The sequence below is a fragment of the Homo sapiens genome, chromosome 16 (genome assembly GCF_000001405.40).
Source record: "Homo sapiens chromosome 16, GRCh38.p14 Primary Assembly".
NCBI lineage: Eukaryota > Metazoa > Chordata > Mammalia > Primates > Hominidae > Homo > Homo sapiens.
The window spans coordinates 20,806,885-20,824,320 of NC_000016.10; the positions used below are offsets into that span (position 1 = coordinate 20,806,885).

At 41.1% G+C, this 17,436-nt stretch overlaps 1 protein-coding gene across 11 annotated transcripts in view, besides 1 other annotated feature; it reads left to right on the top strand.

Moving 5' to 3' along the window:
* REXO5 (RNA exonuclease 5) overlaps positions 1-17,436 on the top strand; it is a 43,241-nt gene that overhangs the window by 460 nt on the left and 25,345 nt on the right. For all 11 annotated transcript variants that reach the window (XM_011545963.3, NM_001199053.2, XM_047434726.1 and 8 more), the window contains exons 2-6: positions 68-207; positions 6,306-6,418; positions 8,043-8,169; positions 9,232-9,328; positions 14,878-15,018. In XM_011545963.3, the coding sequence (XP_011544265.1) occupies positions 70-207; positions 6,306-6,418; positions 8,043-8,169; positions 9,232-9,328; positions 14,878-15,018 (616 nt within the window). In that variant the 5' untranslated portion in view covers positions 68-69. The remainder of the gene's footprint in view (positions 1-67; positions 208-6,305; positions 6,419-8,042; positions 8,170-9,231; positions 9,329-14,877; positions 15,019-17,436) is intronic.
* Positions 308-447: an enhancer, noted in NCBI's record as "active region_10541". NCBI's record gives its function as "activates an Ori minimal core promoter by ATAC-STARR-seq in GM12878 lymphoblastoid cells {active_cell/tissue: GM12878}" and the evidence as "EXISTENCE:reporter gene assay evidence [ECO:0000049][PMID:35858748]".

Here is a 17,436-nt window from a genome sequence, read left to right on the forward strand (position 1 = left end):
AGGAGGCGGCACGCGGGGGAATAGGGGCGCTGGAGTTTCCCCAGCTCTACCTCATCTTTCTCCACAGCCATGGAGCCAGAGAGGGAAGGGACCGAGAGACACCCCAGGAAGGTCAGGGAAAGCAGGCAGGCCCCAAATAAGCTGGTCGGGGCAGCTGAGGCGATGAAAGCCGGTTGGGATCTCGAGGAGAGTCAGCCCGAGGCCAAGGTGAGCAACGGGGATCCCGAGCAGGCGGCCCTAGGCGGTTTGGAGCTCCCGGACCCTCGCCCAACCGCCGTCGGGGGCACTGGATTCGGGCGGGCTCTCCGCCCTGGCCTCTCCGAACCTGATCCCTGATCATTAAAATGGGAATGAGTGTAATACCACCTTCCTGCAACAAGGCTGTCATTGGCTGTCACTGGGATAGTGAGTCGGCCGAGTGCGGTGGCTCATGCCTGTAATTCCAGCACTTTGGGAGGCCGAGGCGGGCGGATCACGAGGTCAGGAGTTCGAGACCAGCCTTGTCAACATGGAGAAATCCCCGTCTCTACCAAAAACACACACACAAAATTAGCCAGGCGTGGTAGTGGGTGACTGTAATCCCACCTACTTGGGAGGCTGAGGCAGGAGAATCGCTAGAACCCAGGAACCAGAGGTTGCAATGAGCCAAGACCACGCCATTACACTCCACCCTGGACAACAAGAAAGAAATCACGTCTCAGAAAAAAAAAAAAAAAAAAAAAAACTGGGATGGTGGGCCGGGTGCAGTGGCTCACGCCTGTAATCCCAGCAGTTTGGGAGGCCAAGGCGGGAGCATCATTTGAGGCCAGGAATTCAAGACCAGCCTGGGCAATATAGCAAGGACCCCATCTCTTAAAAAAAAAAAACAAAAAACAAAACAAAAAAAAAACTGCCTGTACATAATAGGAATGTTCATCGATATCCTGGGGCACAAAAATACAATTCCTTGCCCTCGTGCAGTTTACATTCCAGTAGGGCGGGGGTCCCCAACCCCCTGTGCACAGACTAGTACCTGCCTGTCCATGGGGTCCCCAACCCACTGTCCACAGCTGGCCTGTTAGGAACCGGGCCACAAAGCAGCAGGAGGTGAGCGGTGGCCGATAGAACGTTACCCCCTGAGCTCCACCTAGGCATTAGATTCTCATAGGAATGTGCCAAACCTATTGTGAGCCCTATTGTGAACTTTGCATACGAGGGTCCTAGGTGGCATGCTGCTTATGAGACTCTAATGATAAATGTAATGCACTTGAATCACCCCGAAACCATCCCCCCAGCCCTTCTCCCAGTCAGTGGAAAGATTATCTAACACGAAACCGGTCCCTGGTGCCAACGGTTGGGGACCGCTGCAATAGGGGAATAAAAAGGCTGATTATCCCTATCATCCTTACCATTTACTGAGAACTAAATATACTTCATTCATCCCTTCAGTCGTTCATTGGGCTTTTTTGTTTGTTTTTGTGTTTGAGACAGGGTCTCTGCTCTGCTGGACTCAGGCTGGACTACAGTGGTGTGACAAGGATCCTCCTGTCTCTGCCTCTTACAGGCATGAGCCACTGCACCCAGCTATTCATTGGTTTTTATTGTCTGCCATGTGCTGGGGCACTGACCTAGGTGCTTGGGGTACATCAGTGAATCAAGTTCACTGCCCTAGTAGGTCTTATATTCTAGTGGGCAGAGACAAATGATAAAAATAAGTTATAATATGTGAGAGAGGGATTAGGGATGTGATTTTTTTTTTTTTTTTTTTTTTTGAGGTGGAGTCTCCCTCTGTTGCCCAGGCTGGATTTGGCTCACTGCAACTTTTGCCTCCCAGGTTGAAGTGATCCTCCCACCTCAGTTCCACCAATTAGATGGGACTACAGATGTGTGCCACTGTGCCAGCTAATTTTTCTTTTTTTTGTAGAGACGGGGTTTTGCCATGTTGCCCAGGCTGGTCTTGAACTCCTGGACTTAAGCGATCTGTCCACCTTGGCCTCTGCAAGTTCTGGGATTACAGGCATGAGCCACTGCTTTTTTTTGTTTTTTTTTCGTTTGTTTTTTTTTAAAGAGAGACAGGGTCTCCAACTCCTGGGATCAGGAGATTCACCTGCCTCAGCCTCCCATAGTGCTGGGGATTACATGTGTGAGCCACTGCACCCAGCTGAAAATTTTTTTTATTAAAGTGGGATTCCAGTTTTTTTGCCTATCAAATTTGCAAAAAAATGTTTAATGTTTATGTGGTTAGTGTAAGGAGATTGACAATCACATATTTTGTTATGTTGAAACAATCTCAAACTTTTAGAAAAGTTGTAAGAATAGTATCAAAACCTCCCCTCAACCAACATTTGAAAGTAGTTGCTGACACAATGGTCTTTTTCTACCCACCCTCAAGATATTTTATTATATATTCTCTATAAACCTACATAATCACAATGCAACCATCAAAATTGGAAATTACCATGGATATATCATGACCATCTACTCCTCAGATGCCATCCAAATTTTCTGTAGTTGTTTGAATAACGCTTTTTAGCAATAAGATCCAGTCTAGAATTGTGTTAAATTTAATTGTCATGTCTCCATCAAACAGTTCCTTAGTCTTCCCTTGATATTCATGACTTTACTGCATTTGAATAATCCTGGGCCAATTATTTTGTTGAATGTCCCTTAAATTAGATTTGTCTGTTTCTTCATTGATTAGATTCAGGTTATATACATCTTTAGCAGGAATATCACAGGAGTGATACTCTGCTCCCTTGCAGATTGTACACAATTTGATTTGTCCCATTATTGGTGATATTAACCTTGATAACTAGATTAAGATAGTTTCTACTAAAGTTCTCTAAAGTTATCTTTTTCTCTGTGTAATTTTCATTCTTATTTTTTTGAGACAGGATCTTGCTATATTGCCCAGGCTAGTCTGGAATTCCTGGGCTAAAGCAATCCTCCCACCTCAGCCTCAGTGTAGCTGAGGTTACAGGCCCAAGCCACTGCTCCCAGCTGTCTGTAATGTGCTTCCTCAAACACTTTGGGCTTATGCATTTACTTTTTTATCAGTATGATGAACTCAGTGGTACCTATTTTGTTCAGTGTGTTACTATCTTTTACTGGATTGTGATGCTTTAAATATCCAAGATTTTGTCATTAAGCTAGCTTCTGTGGCCTTTTGACATGACAACATCATTCTTTGAGCATGTCATTACTTTCTGGCACAAGAAGATATTCCAGGCTCATATGTGCTTTCCCTGCCCCAAGCCTGGAATCAGTCATTTCTCTTAGGGTACCTGGTTCTTTTTAGTGTAGAATGATATTTAGATTTGGGTGCTATGGTGATGTTAATACAGATGCTTCTTCACTTAAAATAAGATTACGTCCCAATAAATCCATCGTAAATTGAAAATTTTGTAAGTTGAAAGTGTATACACACACACATACTTACATTTAAATATTTTTCTGTATTTTACTTATGTGAATTCACATCAGTATCTCCACTTTAATCCAAATCCAGTAATACAGGGTTCATTCTATTCATTCTAGTTTTCTCCTTTTTTTTTTTCTTTTGAGACAAAAGTCTTGCCCTGTCACCCAGGCTGGAGTGCAGTGGCATGATCTCTGCTCATTGCAACCTCTCCCTCCCAGCGATTCTCCTACCTCAGCCTCCTGAGTAGCTGGGATTACAGGCACCCACCACCACGCCTGGCTAATTTTTGTACATTTAGTGGAGATGGCGTTTGACCATGTTGGCTGGTCTCAAATTCATGACCTCAAGTGATCTGCCCACCTCGGCTTCGCAAAGTGTTGGGATTACAGGCGTGAACCACCGCGCCCAGTCCATTTTCATATTTGTAACTTCCTTCACTAACAATGAGAAACCCGACACCCAACATCTTCAGTATATTTGATCAATCCTTATTGCTGCCGCTGACCCACCCTCACACCCTCTTGACTCTGCTTAGGCTCTGTCACCCTGCACTGGCTCCATCACCTTGTACCAGGTCATCTTCCTTTGTGAGCACCCTCATCCTATGACAGGTGGCTGCCACCATCCCTCTCAGGTTTATACCCTCATCCTGTTCAGGCTTTAAACCCTGCAACAGGCCACTACTGTCCCTCAGCATTGATGCCCTCCTTACCCTAAATAGTTTCTGACATCTGATGTCAGGACTCACTGCCCTCCCTTCCTTCCTGTATGGGTGACGTCCTTGTGCTGCTGAGGCTTTGACACCCCACACCAGAGCACCCTCCTGCATGAATGTCCTCAGCTTCTGCTCCTAGTCCTGGACTGTCTCCTCTACAGGACACCTTCCTCACCCAACTCAGGCTCTTGACATCCCATGCCTGGCAACCAGGGTTACTCACCGCCATATAGACTCCATCTTGCTCAGTCTCACCTTATTAATCTCATGTTTTTATTTGGTAAAAACAAACTGGCATATTCTTTCAGGAGTTCATTTGAACCAGGAATTGATCCTAAGAAAGTAGATAGATGTACAAAGGTGTCTGTACAAGGATGTTCATCATAATGTTGTTTGTAATTTAAAAAACCAGTGTTATCAATAGGGAATGTTTTTCAGATATATTATAAATTTTCAGGTAAATTTAGAAAATGGACTATTATTCAAGTATTAAAATTGATTTTTTTTAACTGATATGGAAAGATACAGCTTAAGTTCGGGAGTAGGGAGTTGGTTTCAAAAAAGAATGATTGATAAAATCCACTGCGGGCTGTATAGTATAGAGATAAGCCTGCATTCCAGTCTTGGTTCTATCATTTATCTGTCTCTCCAATTTATCTGTAAAATGGGGATGATAGTAGTACACACTTACAAAGTTGTGAGAATTAAATGATTTAATGCATGTAAAATGATCAGAACTGTGTTTCGCTAATGTAAGAGTTTAACATTAGCTTAAGGCCATGGGAATACATTAGCAATAATATCTAATGTTTATTAAGTACTTATGTCAGGTACTAGCCTCAGTACATTGTACTTGAACTATTTCATTGGTCCTCCCAATTATTTAATGAGATAAAATTATAATTACTCTCTAGATGAGGAAACTGAGTCTTAGAAAGGCTATGGCACTGGTCCAAGATGATGATGATGGTCCAAGGCTATGGCACTGGTCCAAGCCTGGTGTTTGAACTCAGGTAGTATGACTAGGGCTTGAGCTTCTAACCGCTATGCTCTGCTGCCTCGCAGACCAAAACGAAAGTGGTGATTACCTCTAAGTTGTACTTTTATTTTAATTATCTCTGAGGTGACTTTTATTTTCGTTTCTCTGTATCATTTATTTTACAATTCTCTGTTAATGAGTCTTTTGTAACAAACACGAATTACTTTATTAAACAAATATAGGCTGGGCGTGGTGACTATAGGCCGGGCGTGGTGGCTCATGCTTGTAATCCCAGCACTTTGGGAGGCTGAGGAGAGCAGATCGCTTGAGCTCAGGAGCTCGAGACCAGCCTGGGCAACATGGTAAAAACTCATCTCTACCAAAAATACAAAAAAAATTAGCCAGGTGTGGTGGCATACATCTGTGGTCCCAGCTACTCAGGACACTGAGGCAGGAGGATCGCTTGAGCCTGGGAGGCAGAGGTTGTAGTGAGCAAAGATAGCGCCACTGTACTCCATCCTGGGTGACAGAGTGAGACTCTGTCTCAGAAAAGAAAAAAACAAGTATAAGTTCAAAGCCTTTTTAAAGGGGTTGGGAGCTTTGCTGAACTCTTGTTGCCCAGGGGATAAATTCTGATTCATTAGCTTAGGCCGCATTGATCTATGATCTGGCTCCTGCTTCCCTCTCCTCATACCTCCACTACTATGCAACATGCAATCCTGGCTCCTTGCCAAACCATACTACATGTTGAATGCGATGTTCCCTCCAACATGGCATTGTTTTCAAGGCTCAGCCTCAGTATTTTCATCTCAGTAGCCTTCCCCAAACTCTCTAACCCCTAAGGCAGTTAGACTCCTTGTTCTCATAGCTTTGTAATAGCACTTACCCACACTGTGTTGGAATTAGCTATTGCTTTCTCTCCCTAGTAGAATGGACTCTTTGAGAGCATGAATTATGCTTTATTTATCCTATTCCTAGCATGTAACCAAGTATCTATAATTCAGTTTTGTGTCAATGATAATTACTTTATTAATAATGTCATACCTACCACATATTGTTATTTTAGGCCATCATTTTCAATTAATTAGCACTTCCTTATGTTAGAATATACCTGTATGTTAAAGTAATCAGAAGCTAGAATAATTTAACTTGCTTTGTTGGTATTCTTGATAACCAATAATGGCTTGCTACGCCCTGATTAATCTTTGCAGAAAGCCCGCTTATCTACCATTTTATTTACTGACAACTGTGAAGTAACCCATGACCAGCTGTGTGAATTGCTGAAGTATGCAGTTCTGGGCAAATCCAATGTTCCAAAACCCAGGTATGAGATGAATTTAAATGGTGGGTATTGACCAGCGGTTTCTTTTTTTTTTTTTTTTTTTTACCTCTCCCAAGCTCCATCATTCAAACCAGAGGTTTCAAACTGGCTTATCGACAGTATTTTTTTGCTATGCAGCATGTCCTGAATTTTTTATGATGGCTGCCAAGTGTTAATTCTGGAAATTCCTATATAAAAATCTACATTTTCTTCTTCCAAAAACTCAAAGATGGCAGCTATCCCTATATTCCCACATGGCAATAATTTGTCAAAGCTGAGTGGTGGTCTCCCCCTTTATATGGGACATGTATACTACAATGTCCTACCTGGCCTGCTTCCCATATTTACAGTATCTGTCTGGCTACTATAGATATTTTAGTTTGTTTCCCGTGTTGCAGACTCAGCTGAAATAACAATGATCTGTGAAGAATTCCAGTTAATCTTTTTTCTTTCTTTTACAAATAAAAGGCAAAGAGAGCCCCGGCATAGTGGCTCACAGTTATAATCCCAGCACTTTGGGAGGCCAAGGTGTGAGGATCACTTGAGTCCCAGAGTCTGAGACCAGCCTGGGCAACATAGCGAGACTCAGGCCCTACAAAAAAAAAAGAGAATCTTACTGTTCTGATATTGTTGGTGCCATTATTAAGTGTCTTATGAAAAATATTTTGTATGTATGCAAATAATACACACGTCTTTCTGGGGGAGGTTGTTATGAATTGGCTAGCTACTTCGAGAACTGTCTTCTCCATCAACAATTACAGCCATCAGTCTGTCAGTTTATCTAAAACTGTTTTTTTTTTTTTTTGGTAGGTTTTATGTCTCTATTGCAACTACCCAACTTGGCCATTGTAGCCCAAAGCAGCCATACATAACACATAGACAAATAAGCATGACTGTAGTTCAATAGTCTTATTTACAAAAATGGGTGGAGCAGGATTTGACATTTTTTTGGTGGGGGATGGAGCCTCGCTCTGTCACCTAGGCTGGAGTGCAGTGGCACGATCTCCGCTCAATGCAACCTCCACCTCCCAGGTTCAAGTGATCCTCTTGCCTCAGCCTCCAGAGTAGCTAGGATTGTAGGCTCATACAACCAGGCCCAGCTAATTTTTTTGTATTTTTTTTAGTAGAGATGGGGTTTCGCCATGTTGCCCAGGTTGGTCTTGAACTCCTGACCTCAAGTCATCCACCTGCCTCGGCCTCCCAAAGTGCTGGGATTACAGGCGTGAGTCACCGTGCCCAGCGAAAACTGAATTTCTTAAAGCCAGCCATTTGATTCCCTGGTTTAGGAAGGACCGCAGAGTAGGTTGGTATCTTAGGGATGACTTTGTAAAGTGAGCTTAGTTCTGATTCCAAACAAACCTTAATAGGACTGTGAATTTAAATGCATTGCATTTTGCTTGGTATTTTACTGGATTTGAATACAACAAGTATTTATCTCTAGGGATCTTTATTTGAATTCTGTGCAATAATGGCTGTCTTCCAGTTCCAGGCAGACGGTGAATGGTGATAAATTCTATTAACTCTCACTCACTGCTTTTCCTGCGCCTTCTCCCCTATTTCCCCTCTATATGACTGTAACTGACTTAAGGCCATCTGTCTTAACTGTGTTGGTTTGATTTCTTGGCAGCTGGTGCCAGCTTTTTCATCAAAACCACCTAAACAACGTAGTGGTTTTTGTTCTGCAGGGAATGAGTCAGCTACACTTTTACAGGTTCTATTTGGAGTTTGGATGTCTTCGAAAAGCATTCAGACATGTAAGTTAAGAATACTTTGTACTAGGGGCTGAGTCTGTTTTCCCATTCTGAGACTAATACATGTGTCAGGGACCATGCTCCTTGGCAACCTAACTGAACAAACAGTAGGGGATATAGAAAGCAAAAAGACCTTAGAGGCCTCATGTAGATTTGTCTCTGATTTTCTTTGGAAATCTAGGCAAACTCTTATTCCCAGGTTATAATCTGTAGCTCCTAGGTTGATATTGTTCTATTTTATTTGGGCTATGGTGTTTTCAGAAATTGTAAAATATAATACAAGCTGAGTTTTCTACCTCTCTTTAAAAAAATCGCAAGATTGGGCACCCTTAAAACAGTATATGGAACTGAATAGCAGTTGTCATCTTTAAAAAGAGGCACCTGCTGTCCATTTTCCCGTAGCCTCTTCCATTTCCTAGTGACCCATTTCATCCATTTATTCCTGAAGGCATTTGAGTTGGTGAGCCCTAATTTAACCTCCCTGGGTCACCATTTTTTTTGCTTTCATTTATTGAGCACTTCCTGTGTATCAGGCTCTCTATTAACCACGGACCACCTGCTACACGTATCATCTTTAATTATCACAATAGTCTTATAAAATAGATACTTTTTAATTTCCATTTTGTACATGAGAAACTGAGTAACTTGCCCGAGTTCCAGCTAGTAAGTGGTAGGGCTGAAATTTAAGCCCAGGTGAACCTGAAGCTGAAGCTCTCAACCTTTTTGCCGTGTGATACCATCTATTCTGATGGCAATGGCATGCTTTCCAATGAAATAATAGATTTGGAAGAACTTTGAAAATACAAAGGGACTTTTCTTGTCTAAGTTGTATATTTCTGTAAAGTTTGTCTATTTTACAATATATAATCATAGGGATCAGTTAGTGTTGTGTGGCTTCATTTACTTAGTCACTTTTCTATATTAAGGAAACAGTTCTTATTTTAAAATGCTAACAATTACTGTCTAGAACTTTCAAAGCACTGAGGTGACAATAAAAGTCCAGGCCTTTCACAGTATTTTAGCTGTTTTCAACCATTTTTGTAAAACCTGTTAATATATTTTCAGAAATTCCGCTTGCCTCCACCATCATCTGATTTTCTAGCTGATGTTGTTGGGCTACAAACTGAACAAAGAGCTGGAGATCTGCCCAAGACAATGGAAGGTATAGCTATGATGCTGGTTTGATGCTTTGCTCACTCTAAAAGATACGGATATGATTGTAAGTAGGTTTAGCACAACAAAACTCAATTCTAACTAGCTTAAGCACAAAAACAATTTTTTTTTTTTTTGAAACGGGGGTCTCACTCTTGTCACCCAGGTGTGAGTGCAGTGGCGTGATCACACGGCTCACTGCAGCCTTGACCTCCCAGACTCAAGCAGTCCTTCCACCTCAGCCTCCTGAGTAGCTGGGGAACTACCAGCACAGGCCACATCCCCAGCTAATTTTGTTTGTTTGTTTGTTTGTTTGTTTTGAGAAACGGGGCTCCACTGTGCTGCCCAGGCTGGTCTCAAACTCCTGAGCTCAAGTGATCTTCCCACCTTGGCTTCCCAAAGTGTGGGGATTATAGGCATGAGCCACCATACCTGGGCCACAAAAACAGTTTTTTTAAGGAAAAATGGGCAGGTACTCAGGGAAGTTAGATAGCAGGAACCACAGCCAGGGTTCATGTCTCAGAAACAATCTGGTTAGATAGCTAAGGATACCTGGGTATCACTGATGTTGGACTCTTATGAATTACTGTGAATAATTTCTAAACTGTCACTGGGTCTTTGTACCCACCAGTGTACAGGTGGGAAGGAAGATCTTGCCTTTGACTAATATAAGGGATACCTGCTGATACTACTCACAGTGAAGAATAGGCAGGAGGTTTAGATACTAGCCAGCTGAAAGATTCATGATAGCAGTGTGTTTTTCAAACTGTGGGTTGTGTCCTATTGGTAAGTTATAAGTAATCTTTTTGGTTTTGCAGGAAGGTGAGTGATAGAGTAGTATAGGACTTATCAGAGTTAGTTGCATATAGTAAGGTTAGGTATTGTTCAATGATACTCTATTTTGTGTTCAGAAATAATTAATTGAATAATTGCACTGAGGGAACATGAAAAAGTAGTGAGGAGTAACTTGATTTCTTATCTCCTCTAGAAATGTGCTTGCATTATCCTCTGTCCTAATCCCCACTTCTAATTTTCTATCTTTCTGTTGTTCTCTTCTTCTCATGGATGCCCATTTTTGATCTGCAATTGTATTTGATTTGATTTGCACTGTATTTTAAACATCTGTGATTAAATCACAGAGTAATCATTATGAGATTCTAGGTTCAAGTAAAAGCATCACGTTGCAAAAGAAAAGATGTAATCAGGAAAAAGAAATCTGACATGTTTGAAGAGTACAGCTTGTTGGACATGCTGAGAAGAATAGGAGGAGGTGGTGATGAGAGACAAAGCTGGAAAGGCAGATTAAAGCCATATCCTGCAGGCTTTGTTTTTATTTTATGTTTTATTTTTATATTCTGTACCAGCCACGGAGAGACAACCTACAGGCTTTGAATGTCATGCCAAAAGAATTTGGATTTTATTCTGTAGGCCTTGAGGAGCCAGAGAGGTTAGGGCAACTTCTCCATCCTCCTAAGTATTTCACTTCATTTTCCAGTGCTAAATATCAGAGTCCCCAAGGCATAGTCCCTCGCACTCTGATCTTCGTTAATCAGTCTTTCCTTCGGAGCATTCATCTGTTCTTGCCAAGTTTACCTATTAGTTTTCTTTGAATGACTCCTGTATCTTTATCTCTAGGTCTGATGCCCCAGATTGCAGGCCTGCATTCTCAACTGCCTGCTGAATATTCCAATTGCTATTTGGATATTCTACTGTCCTCAGTCATAACATAGCTAAATGCGTTTTTCTCATCCTCAAATAATGGTCTCTTCATATTCCCTCTTGTTGGTGTCATTTTTCTCTAAGACACCAGTGTTGAATTTTACAGTTTTCTTTTGGCTCCCTATCCCCAAACTGTCTGCATGCCTAATTCCCTTTGCTCCTATAAATCTCTATTCAGATGTCAATTTAACAGAGACCTTCTCAGCTCATCCTATACAAAATATATGACAGTAACCCTTTCCCTGCCCCAATATTTCCTATACTTTTCTCCTCCTTTTCTTCAAAGCCCTTATCTTACCTGATATATTACGTATTTATTTGTTTATTATCCATATTTCCAACTATAAGTTAAATGTCATGAGGAATTTTGTTGGTTTTGTGCATTGGGGAATTCCTAGTGGCCAAAACAGTGCCGGCTACATAATAAAGTTATAAATATTTAAATATTTTGCTGGCTGAATAATTTTTTCACCATGTTCTACCAGTTTTTCATGTATGTTTTATATATCCCTTTTTCTCCATAGCTTCCACTATCTTAATTCAGATGCTGTAACAACTTCTTTTTGAAACAGAGTCTCGCTCTGTCGCTGAGGCTGGAGTGCAGTGGGATGATCCCAGTTCACTGCAACCTCTGCCACCTGGGTTCAAGCGATTTTTGTGCCTCTCAGCCTCCTGAGTAGCTGGGACTACAGGCGTGCACCACCATACCAGCTAATTTTTGTATTTTTAGTAACGACAGAGTTTCACCATGTTTGGCCAGGCTGGTATTGAACGCTTGGCCTCAAGTGATCCACCTGCCTCAGCCTCTTAAAATGCTGAAAGTACAGGCGTGAGCCACTGCACTTGGCCTTTTTTCATCAACATTTATTTTAAGTTCCTGGGTACATGTGCAGGATGTGTAGGTTTGTTACATAGGTAAATGTGTGCTGTAGTGGTTTACTACACAGATCAGCCAATCACCTAGGTATTAAGCTCAGCCTCCATTAACTATTCTTCCTGATGCTTTACCTCCACCAACCCCTCTGACAACCCCAAATGTGTGTTGTCATGTGTCCATGTGTTTTCATCATTCAGCTCCCTCTTATAAGTGAGAACATGGTGTTGTTTGGTTTTCTGTTTCTGCATTTGCTGAGAATAATGGCTTCCAGTTCCATCCATGTCCCTGCAAAGGACATGGTCTTGTTCCTTTTTGTGGCTGCATAGTATTCCATGGTGTATATGTACCACATTTTTTTTTATCTGATCTATCATTTATGGGCATTTGGGTTGATACCATGTCTTTTCCACCTGCGCATATCTTTATAATAGAATGATTTATATTCCTTTAGAATATACCCAGTAACATGATTGCTGGCTCAAATGGTATTTCTGCCCCTAGCAGATGCTCATAATTTTTTGGCCAGAATTATTGTAAAGCCCTTTCTAGCCTCTTTCTACTTCGCTTTCTTTCTTTCTTCATTTCTTTCCTTTCCTTTCCTTTCTTTTCCTTTCCTTTCCTTCCTTTCTTTTCTTTCTTTCTTTCCTCCTTTTTTTTTTTTTTTTTTTAAATTTAGGCTGGGCGCAGTGGCTCACACCTATAATCCCAGCACTTTGGGAGGCTGAGGCAGGTGGATCACCTGAGGTCGGGAGTTGGAGACCAGCCTGACCAACATGGAGAAATCCCATCTCTACTAAAAATACAAAATTAGCCGGGCGTGGTGGTACATGCCTGTAATCCCAGCTACTCAGGAGGCTGAGGCAGGAGAATCATCTGAACCTGGGAGGCAGAGGTTACAGTGAGCCGAGATCGCGCCATTGCACTCCAGCCTGGGCAACAAGAGCGAAACTCCGTCTCCAAAAAAAAAAAAAAATTTAGAGTCAGGATCTCCCTCTGTTGCCCAGGCTAAAGTGCAGTGGTACAATCTAAGCTCACTGCAGTCTCAAACTCCTACATTCAAGCGATCCTCCTGCCTCAGCCTCCTGAGTAGCTAAGACTTGCAGTTATGCACTACCATGCCTGGCTAATTTTTGTTTTTGTAGAGACTGGGTCTTGCTCCGTTGCCTAGGGTGGTCTCAAACTCCTGGACTCAAGCAATCCTCTTGCCTTGGCCTCCCAAATTGCTGGGATTACAGGCATGCCATGCACCCAGCCTCTACTCCATTTTTTACAAATCTTTGAGGTTGATGTTTCTTAAAACACTGCTTTAATTACATCACTTCCGTTCTCAGGAGCTTTTTGTGGCTCCCCATTACGTATTGAATGGTGGACGAAAGTTAATTATGCTCCTGTCTCAACTTTGTTTCCTATGCTCATCTCTTGCACAGACCTTTCTTTCTTCATTACTGGTCTACTGACAAACCAAGTTTACTCTACATTTCTGTCTTGCCTGGAATGTCCTCTTCTACTTATGATACTTTGGCTATTTTCTTTACAAGGATCAGCTACTCACTTAGGTCATCTTGAGCAAATATTGTTTGAAGAAGGATGTATGTGGGTAGAAAGCCAGCAGGAACCTAAGTGCCCCTAGTAAAAAGATTTTCTCCAACCCTTTCATAGCATCTACTTATCTGTGTATTTTCTTTTCTCTTCTGACTAGTCAGTTCTCTCTCTTTATATATATATATATATATATATATATATATATTTTTTTTTTTTTTTTTTTTTTTTTTTTTTTTTTTTTGAGACAGAGCCTCGCTCTGTTGCCCAGGCAGGAGTGCAGTGGCACAATCTCTGCTCACTGCAACCTCTGCCTCCCGAGTTCAAGCAATTCTTGTGCCTTAGCCTCCTGAATAGGTGGAATTACAGGTGCATGCCACTACACCTGGCTAATTTTTGTGTTTTTAGTAGAGATGGGGTTTCACCATGTTGGCCAGGCTGGTCTTGAACTCCTGACCTCAAGGGTTCCACCTACCTCAGCCTCCCAAAGTGCTGGAATTACAGGTGTGAGCCACTGTACCTAGCCCAGTTCTTTATATTTTTTAGTGAAAATCCTTAAAGCAGGCGGTCTGATGAACTTAACTACTTAAGATTTTCCCTCTGAGAACATGTCTTGATAAGGAATATCAAGTCATTGGTCAATCTATAGATGATCTCTCTTGAGCCAGGTCATACCCTTAATCCAATCAGTAATGGTCCCTGGTTAAAGAACAAGCTTTTGCTGCTTAAATAGGTGGCTGAGGGTGGAGTATATTTAGCTAGAATGAACCATAAGGGAGAGACAGGCACTGTAAAGAACAGGTTGAATATACCAACTATCTGAATTCTGTCTTTTTTTTAAGACTCAATCTTTTCCTTTCTTGATCTCTGACACTCTATTGTGAAGTATATTCCTCCTCCTATCCCTTTACTGTTTTAGCTCATTTGGGACTTCATTTTCTCTGTGTTTTTTTTGTTTGTTTGTTTTGAGACGGAGTCTCGCTCTGCTGCCCAGGCTGGAGTGCAGTGGCGCGATCTCGGCTCACTGCAAGCTCTGCCTCTCGGGTTCACGCCATTCTGCCACCTCAGCCTCCCAAGTAGCTGGGACTACAGGCACCCACCACCACACCCGGCTAATTTTGTTTTTGTATTTTTAGTAGAGACAGGGTTTCACCATGTTAGCCAGGATGGATGGTCTCGATCTCCTGACCTCGTGATCTGCCTGCCTCAGCCTCCCAAAGTGCTGGGATTACAGGCGTGAGCCACTGCACCCTGCCTTTCTGTGTTCTTATAATTGTAATAGATTGCAAGCCCCTAAATGGTTGGGGCTGAGTTTTATACATCTTTTGATCTTCCTTGTGCTTAGCCTATACAACCTTAGGAGACATTTCTTCTAGGGTTCTTAAACACACATTCTAATATACGTTCAATTGTTTTTCTTTCAGGGCCTTTACCTTCTAATGCAAAAGCCGCCATCAACCTTCAGGATGATCCCATCATTCAAAAGTATGGCTCTAAGAAAGTGGGCTTGACCAGATGCCTTCTGACAAAGGAGGAAATGAGAACGTTTCACTTTCCATTACAAGGTTGGCTTAGGCTTACTCTGATATTGCTAACAATGTAAGAATATCTAACAGCTTATTTAAATACTACTGTTTGAGATTCATTTATCTGGCTGTTTTCTGAGTGGCTTATTCTTATTTCATCTTCTATTAATGAGGAAATATCTTCGGCACAGTGTATCTCAAAAGTGTGTGATGTCTACCGTGATTGGCAAAGTGATGATTTTAGGTAGTACATGAATGTGACATTAAATAGCATTGAAATAATATTTAATAAGAAAGTTATTCCCTTTCCTTTTCATTCAGTTTTCTTTCATTTCTTCTTAATATATTAAAAACAGTCAGTATGTCTTTAACATTTTAACACTTTTCCAGTACTTCTAATTCTCCTCCCACACTGCCCCCATATTTCTTTAACAAATAGAGCAGGTCTAGGCTCGGAGCCTTGGTCAATTATATAGCAAGAATTTAATAAAAGTACTTTGATTTCATTTTATTTTCTTTGTTACCTCCTAATTATAGCAATGATAATTAAATTTCCTTTTTTAAAAACAGATATAATTTAACATACCACACAATTCACCCACTTAAAGTTACAATTAAGTATTTTTTACTATGTTCACAGAGTTGTACAGCCATCACCACAATTTTAGAACACTTCTATCATCCCAAAAGAAACCCTGTATTATAATTTCCCTCCAACTCCCTGAGCCTTTGACAACCGTTAATCTAGTTTCTATATATAGATTTACCCATTCTGGGTATTTCCTGTAAGTGGATGTGCAATATGTGGGCTTTGTGACTGGCTTCTTTAACTTAGCATAATGTTCTCAAGCTTCATCCATGTTGTAGCATGTATCAGTACTACATTTATTTTCACTGCTTAATGATACTGCATTGGATAGACTGTTCATCAGGTGATGGACATTTGGGTTGTTTCCACTTTTTAGTTAATAATGCTGCTATGAATATTCAGGTCCAAGTTTTTTGTGTGGGCACATGCTTTCATTTCTGTTGGGTATATACCTAGGAGTATAATTGCTGGGTCATGTGACAACTCTGTGTTTAACCTTTTGAGGAACTGTCAGGCTGTGAAAGCTGCCGTACCATTTTACTTTCCCACCAGCAGCATATGAGGTTTCCAGTTCCTGCACATTCTTGCCAACATTTACTATTATCTTGTCTGAATATATCCATCCTAGTGGGTATGAAGTGGTGTCTCATTGTGATTTTGATTTGCATGTTTCTGTTGGCTGATGATTTTGAGCAACTTTTCACATGCTTATTAGTCATTTGTATAGCTTCAGAGAACTGTCTATTCAGATCCTTTGTCCATTTTTAAATTGGGCTGTATTTTATCATGGAATTATTGGAGTTCTTATTTTCTGGATGCATAAATTTTATTTTTTTAATTTTTTAAGTTGATGTAGGCGTGTTTTATAGGTGCCAGGCACCGTACTAAGTGCCTTTTTGTACATTAACTGGCAGTCCTATGATATATGAACTAAATTTTAACTCCATTTTATACATGGCTTTTTTCTCTATTTATTTTAACATATTTATAACCATCTTTTTCTTGAGGTTGCACTACTGTCACATGAGCACGTAGTAAGGGCAGTACTGCTAACACCTATAAAACACCACTGATAATATAGATAAGGTAGGCAGCAAATATAGTGTCTGTGAGATTTGAGGCTGCCTTTCTTCTCTGGGATAGACCATCTTTTGATTCTTTTCATTGCGATTAGTTGGAAATTTCACAGTACCGGGAATCAGAAATTGGTCAAAGGTTTGCATAGCCCCCTTTGTTCCGTGTCAAACAAGATTTAGATGTTACCTTTACTGCTCCAGCCTCTGCCTGAAGGTAGAAATCTTCAACAATTCAGATGCTTTTGGGTTTTTGAGCTAAATATGCATGGTTATGGACTCAGGGTTCACAAATAGAGGGAGTACCTTAAATCTATAGCTGAGCCTCTGTAGGAAATATGTGATTCCAGAAAATGCAGGCAAGGCTCTGAATAGGTGTTTCAGAGGAATCTCACAGGTTGAGTTGGGTGGAGGGACACATATGGTGAATGTTACTTAAACTTTCTTCCTACTATGAAATCCTTTTAGATCTCCATTATGGTGGAATCTCATTCCTATTTTCTCTTCCTGTATTTAGGAAAGAAAGATGCCACATACAGTTATTTGCATACTTTATTCATTCTTTCTTAGTGCTGACATGGAAAGCGCCTAATGACTTTGGGTTTAGCCATGATTTAGTTATCTCTTTTCTCATGAGGAGGAAAAATTGTTACTTGGTAACTGCCAGGAAGTTCAAGCCCCAGAATCTCCTCCTAACAGCAAGCCTACATTATTCTTTCAATATAAAAATGAGTAGATGGAGAAAAACTTGAGGACAGAGATTGTATCTTATTTAGTCATTGTATTTCAAGTGTC